Source organism: Homo sapiens, chromosome 7, assembly GCF_000001405.40.
Source record: "Homo sapiens chromosome 7, GRCh38.p14 Primary Assembly".
Lineage (NCBI taxonomy): Eukaryota > Metazoa > Chordata > Mammalia > Primates > Hominidae > Homo > Homo sapiens.
The window spans coordinates 26,530,987-26,543,127 of record NC_000007.14 but is presented as its reverse complement, the minus strand read 5'-3'; the positions used below and the strand labels follow the sequence as shown (position 1 = coordinate 26,543,127).

The window sequence follows — 12,141 nt, the reverse complement described above, 5'->3', positions numbered from 1 at the left end:
AAACCCTCAAAACTTGATTTTTAAAACTCGGGAGGCAGAGCTGGGCGCGGTGGCTCACGCCTGTAATCCCAGAACTTTGGGAGGCCGAGGCGGGCACATCACGAGGTCAGGAGATCGAAACCTTCCTAACACGGTGAAACCCCGTCTCTACTAAAAATACAAAAAAATTAGCCGGGCATGGTGGCAGGCACCTGTAGTCCCAGCTACTCGGGAGGCTGAGGCAGGAGAATGGCATGAACCCGGGAGGCAGAGCGTGCAGTGAGCCAAGATCTCGCCACTGCATTCCAGCCTGGGCGACGGAGCGAGACTCCGCCTCAAAAAAAAAAAAAAACTTGGGAGGCATGCCGCTTCCTCAGCTGGACAGCATGATCAGAACCATGTGGCTAAAAGGTTAAGTCACTGACTTTCAAGTGAGGCAGAAGCTGGGACTGCATTCTGCCTGTGCTGACTATTGTCTGTGTCACTGGGAGAACCAGTAAACCTCTACTTCCCAGTTTACTCATCTGTAAAGTGGGCTTCATAGGGTAGTAGGCCTTACCAGTGCCCTGCCCTGCCCTTCAGCCTTACCGCTGCCAACTGCATTCTTTGCCTTAAGGCTTTTTCTGGGGGTCAGAGCCCATGGTGCCTGCTCACCTGGCAGGCTAGGTCCACTAGAGAATTAATGCTCCCAGGAGCAGCTCTCAACTAATGAGGATGGGAACGAATGTATAAATGCGCATGATCTATACATACCTCAGCTCCCTTTCTCCTTGCCCCTTAATTCTAAGACATAGGTTTTCTGCCAATTCCTAGATTTCCCACAGCAGGCTCAAGCTCCGGTTGGCCACAGTGGTAACGTGCTTAACAACAAACCCTGTGTTAGCTGCCTCCCCTCTTTGTCTCATTTCTCCACTCACCTTCTGGGAGTTCCTGAAATCTTCTCACCCCACATCATATTTATGTAATGTGGCCGATCAGTGCTACATTCTGACAAAGTGAGCCACTTGCTGTCTCCCAGGGTCACAACCCCACTCCTCCAAGGACAGCACAGAAAACTTCTTTATCACAAACTCCATTTTTTCTTGACTTCTAGTATATAACTGGGACTATTTCTAGGAAAAAAAGAATCTGTGAATAAATTTTTCTCTCTTATCCTTGTAGGGTCTTATAAGGATTCAGGCATTCAAAAAAATGAGCAACTACACACCAAGGGCTTAGATTTCCTTGGTAATGATACTACTTCAAAATTAGCAGTTATTAATGGGAAGGTTGAAGTCTGGAGCTTGTTAGCACATTTAGTTGGAAGAAAGGTGTTAATGAAAATAGTGTTTGCATTTATTTCTCATCAAGGCTAAATGAAACTGGGTAGAGGAGTCAGATCAAGTTCATCTTCTGGTGGAAAAACAATTCAGAGCACATACTTTCTTTAATCGAGAGACAGTCACGTAGGGATAGCAGCCAATATTGTCATTACTCCCCATCATTTTAACACCGGCTTTTGGGTCAGGGCACCTATGCAAAGGAGTATCTGTGGCCTGGCATCTTGGAGCCATTTACAGCTACACAATGCAGTCGTGGCACTTGGCAGAGGCTGCCATTTTCTAGACGGCAGTACCAGCATCAACTCCCTTGTGTGAAGCCGATTCTTCTCTGAGGGTCTATAATCTTTGGGAAGTCTGGTGATTCTGAAGTATGTCTCAGGGTGACACTTGTTTCCCTTTTCCCCTCTTTTCAATCAGTTCAAAGTCAGACCCGTTTCAATGCTGATGGGCCAGCACCATCCTTAGGGAGTACTCATGATCCCTTTTCTGTTCATTTAAGGGATTTAGGAATGCTTGGTAGACAGCCTCTTATTGGAACCAATGAGTCCTGTGTGAAGTTTAAGGGATGCTGACAAACCTGCTCTGGGCTGTCAGAGGATTTCTTCCTCTAGTGTCCTGGACAGTCCCATAACTTGTCCATGGAAAGGGCTGCTTCAGAAAATTGCATTCTTTATGGTGGCAATTCAGTTTCACATCTGAGTCCTTGACAGTAAAAGGTATTTAAATTTAAAAGCATATTTTGATATAAAGTCTATGGAAACCCCCCTCTCTCCCGGTTTGTTTGGATACTCTTACCAAACAGAGACCTTGGGGCTGGCTGCTTCATGCCTATTTCGTTTTCCCATTCAATCCATTTTCACTGAAAAGGAGACATAAGCAGTGAAGCCAATATAGTTTTATTGGATCCAATGCACTACCACTAAAACAAATATATGTACACTCAGGCCAATACACTTTTATTAAAACAAATAGAATTTAATTCAAACCAGCATTCAATACGTTTTCTCAAAGCAATGAAATTAAGCTGTACCAGTACTTCTGCTCAATATGTTTTCCCAATCAAATCCATTTGAACAAAGTGAAATATATTTATCATAGATAGCACATTTTTATTAAAAACAAATTCACTGAAACCAAGTTTCCCTTTGAACTGATAGATAGAAATTCTAACCAATTGCACAATTAGATCATAGAAACGGATGTATTTTTACTTTAGCAAAAAGCATTTCTGTTCAGGTCCACTTTAAAACACACTAATGAATAATAAAAGTTGCTCCAACAATGTCTTTAATGGAATATTCTGTCCAAGGTATGTCCTTTGAGGTTGAAGCACAGTCTAGAAATTTTTTTTTAATGTAGGGAAAAGAATAGTGCTGAAATAGAATTACAATAACTTCAGATACTTAATGACTAAATATTTATCCTACCTATGTGTACTTAAAAGTGATGTTGTTGGATGTGTACAAATGAATTAAAGACATGCTTGGGGGTGTCCTTTTTAGTTGCATTTGCTACTATACCACATTAGCCAGAAAAAACTTTCCTTGTCATTGATGAAAAACACTCTCTCTTCTTACCTGTCTGAGGTTAACTAGGGATTGCCATGCATAGAGAGAACTTAATGGTATGGGAGGTCATTTATTTGTGTGGCTCTTTGGAGGGAATTTCAATTTTGGTGCCTAGATTACAAACCATATTCAAGTCTTCTGAAGAACCATGGAAAAGGAGAACAACTTACAAATGCCACACACCTTTTGGGAGGCAACAAACTCCCTACGAGCAAGAGTATCCAAATAACGTCCCACCTCTCTGCAGGGCCACTAATGCTCCCGACACAGGGCAGACCTCCAAGTAGAGAAGCATCTCTGGAGAAATTAGAGCCTCCCCACAAGGAATATGAGGGCTCCGATCAGTGGCCACAAGGAACCCCTCCCTGCTGCCTCCACAGTGGCCCCACACTCTGTCTTCTCTGCTCCCATCTTACCCCAAGGCTGCAGGACCTTGGGATAGAAATCTTCTCCCCTAAGCAGCCCAGAGAATGCTCCTTAACCCAAGACAGTGGGTTCTCAGTACTACTTCCTCCTTCCTGCCTGGAAAAGTGCAAAAAGTATAGATATGCCCACAGTTCACTGGGCAAATAATGTACTGACCTCCGGGGGATCCTGGCCTTGAATGGACTAGATCTGCCTTCTCTGAAACACAACTGGTCATGGAGGGTACCCTGCGAACAGATGTTCATCACAGAATTATTTAAAAAGATGAAATGTTAGAAACCCAAATATCTAGCATCCAGGGGATTGGTTAAACATATTGTAATAATATCTTCCTGATGTATTCTACAATATTAATATCAATACAGTATCATAAGCATTCAGTGTCACTGTAGAGGTATTTAATTGAATGGGAAATATTCATAGTACATTATCAAATAAAAACGTTTAAAAGATATAGTAATTTCTTATCTTTGCAAAATAGATATGCATATCTATGCATAAACAAAAACATGGGAAGATGACACTAAAATGTTAATAGTGGTGAGTGATAGATGATAGATTTCTCTCTCTCTCTCTCTCTCCACCTCTCTCTTTGAAGCTGTATTTTACAAATTTCCTGAAATTCACCTGTATTACTTTTGATATAAGCAAAAATTATTTTAAAAGTGGTTATTTTTTAAAATATGGCATTAAGTCCAATTTAAAAGGTAGTGAGCAAATGTTGGGTCGGCTTCTGTAGTCTTAATTCTGGTATCCTTTCAGAGAGGGTCAGTACTCCACGTCTCATTCTTTGTTCTTTTGCAAAACTTTATTTGAAGGCTTTCATCAACTGGTCATTCGACATGCACTTAAACAGGAACCCAGGTAATAAATTCTGCCTTGAGTTTGTTCCAGGAAGCAGTGCGGCTTGACACAAAGGATGTGCATGCTTTATGTTGTCAGATGATATAAACTGTGTTGCCCCAGATTCTGCCTTTTGCCTTAGCTCAGAGCCACCTGGCTGTTTTAATCATCTCATCTCAGATGCCTGGCAACATCTAATTCCTCAGCTCCTTTTCAGTAATTTCAGTTCTATTTTCTTACTCTATCATTCTGGTGTTTTCATTGCATTTTCTTATAAAAGAGATCCAGATTTATTTTGGAAATAGATTTGAATGACGAAAACATCCTATAGAAGCAAATCCTAAACAAATATAAATATTTGACCATGATTATGCAAAGAAAGCTCCTGCTTCCTCCTCTGTGTCACAGAGACCCTCGGGAGGAACTCCAGGGAGAATGGAAGCTTGGGAGTCATCCCAACCCTTGCTCAGGTGCGAAATCCCCTGCCCTCTGCCTGGCACTGATAGGGACGGATCAGTTTCTCTGCCTGGAGAGGCAGCCTCCTGTGACCTGGATACATTGGAGCCTGAACACGGGAACAGAAGGTATCCTCCCTCCTTCCTTAGTGGTCTCCGGGTGCCCTTCTGGGGAGGATTGGCTCTTCTGGGCTTCTTCATGCATATGATTCCTAGTCATGGCTTCAGCCCCTTTAGTTCACTGGGTCCTTATTCCGTGTTTTCCTGTGCCCAGCTGTGAGGCTAGAAAACGGAGAGGAGAAGGAAGAAGGGGACAGGGATGGTGTGGTGGTTGGTAGAAGAGAAAGAAAGATACAGACAGACAGACAGACAGAGAAACAAAACAGACCCTCAGACACTGAACATGTTTAATTAAGCCGACTTTATCCAGTTGCAGTTGAAACCAGGGTGGAAATAATTGATGTTCCTTGTATTGTTTTAGGTGAAAATGGTAGAAATAAATGGAACTGTCAAGGTTGTAAACCTTCCCATCTTCATTACAAATAAAGAATTAAGAAATGAACAGTAGTAAACAGATAGGGGTTCCAAGATGTCTTTTTCTTCCCCCAAGGCAATGTCCCCCTGGAACTTAGCACCAAGGCACCCTGTTTTCTGTCCTGACGGTTACTCCATTTTCTCCTCCCTTGAAAAGGGTTGCCCAGAGCACCCCCAACCCACTCCAAGGCCAGACCTCTCCCAGCCTGAACTTCTTCATAGACCTGTTATCATCCCTCACTCACCTTCAAAGCCTCCCACTCACCAGTTCTTCTTCCTAGTCCTGGGAAAATTCCTTCTCCAGAAGCTGCCTGTGCATTCACCAATCTAGCCCCCTTAATGACCCTTTGAGGCAGACACTTTATCCCCATTTCACAGAGGTGGAAACTAAGCCTCGTAGAAGGTGAGTAACTCAACCCAGGTCACACAGCTCGAGCTAAGGTTCAGGCCACTCAGCTGACTCCAGTACTGTGTGCCACCCTGCTCCTCACTGCTTTCCTCTGAAACCTCAGGGATTGTCTGGCTCAATGTGTACCTGGGGAAGATGAGAAAACTGAGGCCTAGAGAGGTGAAATGGCTTGCCCAAGACCACTCCAAATATCCCACCTATCCTTGGCCCCTTTCCACTCCACCATGCAGCATAGCGCATTATATTCAAATACTTTAGCTAATATGTTCAGATGCTAAAAACCTGCCCCTGAACTTACTGCAACCATCTTCCAAGAGAAAGCAGCTTAGTTTCAACCTCTTTCCACATCCTTTTTAAAAATCAGAAGTCTCTAATACAGCTGTGATTTTGTTCATCTCCTGTCATTCCCTCTCTCTGCCCTCAGATGGGGTGCCAATGTGTGACAACGTGGCTCTAAAATGGGCCAGCAGGAGGGGGAAAAGGGTTGGAAAAGACAGAAAGAGAACAAGCTCTCTCTCTTGCTCACTCTCACTCTCTCTTTCTCTTCCTTTCCACCCCGTGGTCCTCCCAGGGTCTCTGGGAATCCAATCTCAGTCTGTTGGGCTTACAAAGTGACCAAAGTCAAATGCTGGTCTGTGAGAGAAAGAGGAGGCAGACACATCGGGGGACCGAGAAATACTTTGAAGCACCCCGCTCACCATGGTATGGGGAAGAATTTGGCCACATCCCTGCCAACTGCTGCTTCTCTTGGACTGGGAAAGGGTCAGTTGCTTGTTTCTATCAGATTCATGGACACCACCAAGAAAAGAGGCCAGTCTGAGACATTCAATATTTGTTGAAACACAGAGGTTTAACTGATCATTGAGGTACACAGGGTGATAGGAAGAGTATGAACTTGAGAATCTGATGGATTTTGTTTAAAGTTAGGACTAGGCTACTGACTACCCACCCTGCTAATTGTCTTGGGGAAGTTATTTAACCTCTCTGAACCTCAGCTTCTCATCCACAAAATAGGACACTAGCACACAGTGGGCTATCTATATATATTTATTGAATTGAAATGGGAGTATTCAAAATTATTTGGGTTGTTGGCTTAAAATAAGCAGAATAATTCAATTCCTGTTCATCTGGAATCTAATTGTCCAATTTGGAGTTTCAGATGTAACAAAGATCCTAATGACCTAATATTATTGGGGTAATCCTAAAATTTATTAGGTGATCTGCAAGTTCCATGATGATTGTATACTGGAGGAAATGCACAATGCACACAGACCTTCCTAGGAGTAAAAGACTGATGTGAATTTGCAGCACTACTTAATTATAAGTAATTGTTGCATGAACACACACACAAACACACACCCACAGAACTCACACTATAAGATAGGAGGGGCAAATAATGACATTTGACAAAAATGAGCTCTTGCAGAGCTCAACGAGTCTAAGTTTCCTCCCTAATATCTTAACAGGCTACAGTATACACAGGCTTTTAAGTAATGTACTTGTTATCCAAACACTAGCAGACATTTAACTGGAATCCAGGAGCATTTTGTCAAGAAGGAAAAGAACTAACCAAAGAAAAAGAAAAGTAGAGAGTTTCCCAGCTGTTTTACCACATCACAACTTCAAAAAAACCAAGCCTGTCCTTGCCTTGTCCCTGATGGCTCTGCCAGCAGAGTGAATGAATTGGAGCAGATTTAGGTTTTAAAATGCCTCCTAATATCATTTGGGCAGATTAGCTTACATGGCTGGACATTGTGCTCCCAGCCACAGGGAATGTTCTTTTCCTGTTGGAAGCTCTGACAGCCACTGCCACGGTGAAATATCAGGAGCCTCCTAACATTTTTCTTGATTTCTTTAAGAGTGAACATTAGACATATTAAAAACAACAACCCAATCATTAAGCCCTGTGAGGTTTTCCTAGGAGCCAGCTCTATCGCTTTAATCAGATTACGGACAACTCATTCTCATCCCAGCCATTTATCTTCTTTGTTTACACACACACCAAGTGGCATTCTTCTTAGCATCAAAAAATAGTAATCAAAATTGAGAACAACAAAAGACCTTTCATTATTTACAGTGTTAAGTAACATCTATTTGCCTTCATTAGTTTCTAAACAACGAAGTACACTGGTTCTGATTAAAGCTGGCATGTGTTAATTATATCCGAGGTCTGGGATTGTTTTGTCTACAATAAAGGATTGCTGAAAGCTGAAATTTGAGGCGCCCAGGCCCCAGAAATCACCTGCCTCTATGTGTTTCCTCAGTGAGAGTTTCCAGCCTGAGAATGGCAGAAGCGGATGTGAGCTTGTCACAGAAAGTTTTTTTTGCTTTGTTTTGTTTTGTTTGGTTTTTAAGCCCTCGGTTTTATTGCCCATTTTATGGGCTGGAGTTAAATGGAAGTACAATGCAGTTTGCTGTCTTACTGCTCAGCACTAACAGCCATGATGAGCCATAATTAGAAGTAAAACCACCACATAAATAACATGGTAGAAAAATTGCCACAGTGAGAAGCCAGACTTTGGCGACGGGAAACTTCAGCGGGTCTTGAGTATCCATCATACTTAAGGGGCACCGCGTATTTTAGCCCATATTTGTCTTACTAAAGCCAAAATGGGAGCCATTTAGACTTTCGAACAAGCTTTTAAAAATAGAGAATGTAGGCTTAAACAGACTGCCTGCTGCTAAGTGTGATGAAGAAACCTGTCACCTGGAGGCTACGACAGCTGGAAGGGCTGGGAGGGAGAGCCCTGGGAGCCCAGGGGTGAGGAAGGGAAGATAAACAGGAGAGGAAGAGGAGGCCTGGACTCTCCACAACAGCAAGGTCTAGACATTTCACTGCAAAGCCTAAGAGTCTGCACACCGTTGAGCACAGCAGCTTAGACTTCCGCCGGGGAACGTGTGAGGCTGGGACGCCTTGCAGATTTTGCTTTCATGACCTGTACTCAGCGATGAAGTGGGAGCAGGTAGACTAGTTTTTTTTTTTTTTTTAATGGAGTCTCATTCTGTCACCCAGGCTGGAGTGCAGTGGCGTGATCTCGGTTCACTGCAACCTCTGCCACCCATGTTCAAGCGATTCTCCTGCCTCAGCCCCCTGAGTAGCTGGGATTACAGGTGCCTGCCACTGCGTCTGGCTAATTTTTGTATTTTTAGTAGAGATGGGGTTTCACCATCTTGGCCAGGCTGGTCTTGAACTCCTGACCTTGTGGTCCACCCGCCTCGGCCTCCCAAAATCCTGGGATTACATGCATGAGCCACGCGCCCAGCCTAGACTAGCATTTTTGAGTACCCACTATCTCCTTGGCATTTTACTTCCATTTTAATTCTCATAACAGCCTTAGGACGCCAATGAAAAGGAAGAGAAAATAAAGTGTGTTCTGTGCCTGAAAATGGCCTTAAAGAAACAAGGACCAACAGCTGGAGCAGAGTGGGGCTGCCCATACGCAAAGAGACAACAAGTAGGAATTAACATAAGGCATATCACGTGGATGCCATAGAACTATCACAGCAATTTCTTTTTTCCCCAAGTCAGCCTCTCTTGTACAGGGGATTAGAAAACAAACCCAAGAGAATAAACTTGAAATGGAAGGAACGTGCTTTGTAGTCGAGTGTTTTTCAAAGCCTGCATCATTTTAAAAACTGATTTAAGTATATTCATTTGCTTTCTAAAATAAGTCATATGTATGTTTCTACTGATCGGCCAGAATAGTTAAGGTCTGTCTGATCTTCATATGGAATGAAAGGGGACATTCTTTGGATATTCTGGAAGTCCACACGTGTTCTTTACAGAGTTTGGTTTGCTTTCTCCGTTTCTTCCTTCCTTTGCAAAATCAAACAAACAGGAATAAAAACCAAACCAAAACAAAATTAATGAAAACCCTTGTGTTGAGGACTTTGTTTTGTTTTAAATGTGTCTGGTATTAAGCAGTATGTTTAGTGAAATGACTTTAAACTTAAGTAGGAAATACAGCTCCATTTCACACGTGGATTTTGTCTGCATTTACATCTCTGCAGGCCTCACATGCCGTGACACCAGACATTTTTTTAATTAAGATATGAAGTGCTCATTTTTTTTTTGTGGAACTGCTGTATTCTAACAAATTTACTACACGTCTCAGAAAACACATAGCTTTGCCAAAGTTGGTGAGTAGCCCAGCATGGTTTATCTCCAGCCCACAGCTCTTTCCCTGAATTCAATACTGCAGGCACAATTTAATGCAAACCCAATTTATGACTTAATGCTCTAGGGACCGTAGTGGGAGATTGTTACATTATTCTTTTCTAATCCTATTTGTGTTTTAATTTGCTAAGTCTGTAATGAGGTGCATGCCTTGAATATTCAAGATCTTTGACATTGCTTTTGACTTTGTTTAATATAATAGATTTTACAGTTTGCATTAAATACCCAGGTGCTTCGGTCAGTATTATCTCTTTATTTTCTCAACTAGAGTGAATAAAATTACACGATGAAAGTAACTGTGTGCATGTTTCCTTGTTTATTGTAATGGTTTATTTCCTATTATAATTCTTGATTCAAATTATGTCTAGTTCTCCAAAAGTCAATTCTCCATGGACTCTTACTTCCCCTTTCCAAACAATTGTTAGCTTCCAAAGAGAATGGAGTCTTGGCTGACAACTGATTAGTTAAATAATAATAAAACAAGTTTTCTAGTCTCATTTATGATACTTTAATTGCACAGAAAGGGAGAAAGTGAGGAAGATAGGAAGGAAGGGAGGGAGTAATGGAGGGAGGGAGGGGAAGGGAAGGGAAGGTGCTGTGTCACTATATGCTGCTATTTGATTTCTGGTGTTGGGCTGAAATGTAGCATCCCTAATCAGAGCTGCTACATCACCCAACTCCACAGTGTGTCATTTGGTGTCCATAACTGTGTTATAGCCAATTATAGCTAAATTCTCTGTTCTGTATGCACAATCAAAGGGCGTCTGGAATGCATTTTGCTATTTTCTGAATCCTATTATTGCAGACATGTTTATTACATTCAGAAGATGGCTTTCTGAAATTACATTGGAATTGTATGACCCACCTGCCATTTACAAACAAAAGGACCTAAACATTTCTTAACAAGAAGAAAGTTCATTTAGCTCTTTCTTGGTAACTTTTCTCATGTTATTTTTTTTCGTAGCTATATCTTTAAGACTCATTGCCCAAGCCCCTACGTATTTATAAAAATATCTAAGCTCTCCAGTTAATGTTTAATAACCCAGCAGGTCAAAAAGGGGTTGCAAACCCCTTTTTGACTCCTGTGGTGAGTGCTGGCTACAATTTTCATTGTGAATTTTTTTTCAAACTATGAAAAAAGGGATTGTAAAATGGATCCCAAATTATAACAATTTGATAGCCCTGAAATAGTTCATTTAGGTTGCCTTTCAAAAGAAAGAATTTTCAGGTTATGTCTTTAAATTTTTTGCGGGGGTGCATTTTAAGAGGAAAGTGAGTGGTGTTAGAAAGACACATGATACCTATTTGAAAACATAGCATCTCATCATTAATTATTAAGGGAGAAGTGAAAGTGTTTCTAAACCAAATGCTTTCTTTTTCCCTTCTACTGGAGTTTACTTCTCTCATATTTTCCCCCCAAGCTTACTTTATTACTGGTATTTGCCTTGCAGAGCCAGGGGATATTACTACCTTTTTATTTGCTATTTTTACAGGACCCAACAAAGTGCTTTTAAAATATATAACCACTTAATTCAAGTCAAGCTTCTTCAATACTCCTTTCATTCAAGCCCTTTCTAATTTGTTTTCCTCCAGCCAGGAGCCTGCAGAAGACACTGTGATTTATGTTTTCATTTATTTATTTTATTTGGGCTTTTCATTTAAGAAAAGAAATTCTGCACAACCCCCACCACCCTCCATTCTCCCTCATCTCACTCCACCCCTGCCCCCACTTCTGTATTTGGACGATTAAGACTCTCAAGCCAGACTTCAGAGTTTTAAAGTCATGTCTTGAGAGCTTTGACCACAGACTGGATGAGGCTTGGTCTGGGCTTCTTACACCACTCCGAGTGGTATCAACCCAGTGCTTTAGATTCAGATCGTCTTGAGGGCAGCGCCTTTATCTTTGTCTTCCTTTATCACTTCACAGCCTGCTCAGTAAAGAGCATCCAGTATACAGCCTCGGAGGAATTCAGCCTTTTCCCAAAGATGAAAGATGCTATGCAGTGGGGTTTAAATTCCCACAAAGAGATGATTAAAGGTGTGTGTTTGGCAACAGACAGGATCTGTTTTCCTGTACACATTAAGGTATTGTTTTTTTTGGGAGCTGGGGGAAAGGAGGTGGAGGAAATCTCTGCATGACATGTAAGAGCTTGGGCTTGGGAGTCCAGCAGCCATGGGTAGAGTCTTGGTTCTGCTACCTCATTAGTGACTTTGAGTGAGTTACTCCTGCTCCTTACATGGATTCATCCATCCACTCATTCTGTCAGCAAATAGTTATTAGGCACCAACTGTATATCAGGCGCCGAGTGGGTAGCAGGTATGGACATAGACATGATTCCTGTCCATACTGACCTGGTGGGGTAAACAGTCAGACAAGCATTTACAAAAAAGCACGACAGGCATGAGAACAGGGGAAGCCGGGGAAGCC

The 12,141-nt window shown here is 42.0% G+C and overlaps 2 long non-coding RNA genes across 5 annotated transcripts in view; one reads left to right on the top strand and one right to left on the bottom strand.

Annotated features, from left to right (window-relative positions):
• Positions 1-2,177: 2,177 nt before the first annotated feature.
• Positions 2,178-12,141, bottom strand: part of LINC02981 (long intergenic non-protein coding RNA 2981) — a 142,382-nt gene continuing 132,418 nt past the window's right edge. For all 4 annotated transcript variants that reach the window (NR_148499.1, NR_148501.1, NR_148502.1 and 1 more), the window contains one exon: positions 2,178-4,875. This is a non-coding gene — a long non-coding RNA (long intergenic non-protein coding RNA 2981). The remainder of the gene's footprint in view (positions 4,876-12,141) is intronic.
• On the top strand, positions 4,303-10,007 carry KIAA0087 (KIAA0087 lncRNA). The gene is made up of 2 exons (NR_022006.1): positions 4,303-4,722; positions 6,108-10,007. It is a non-coding gene; the product is annotated as a KIAA0087 lncRNA (long non-coding RNA).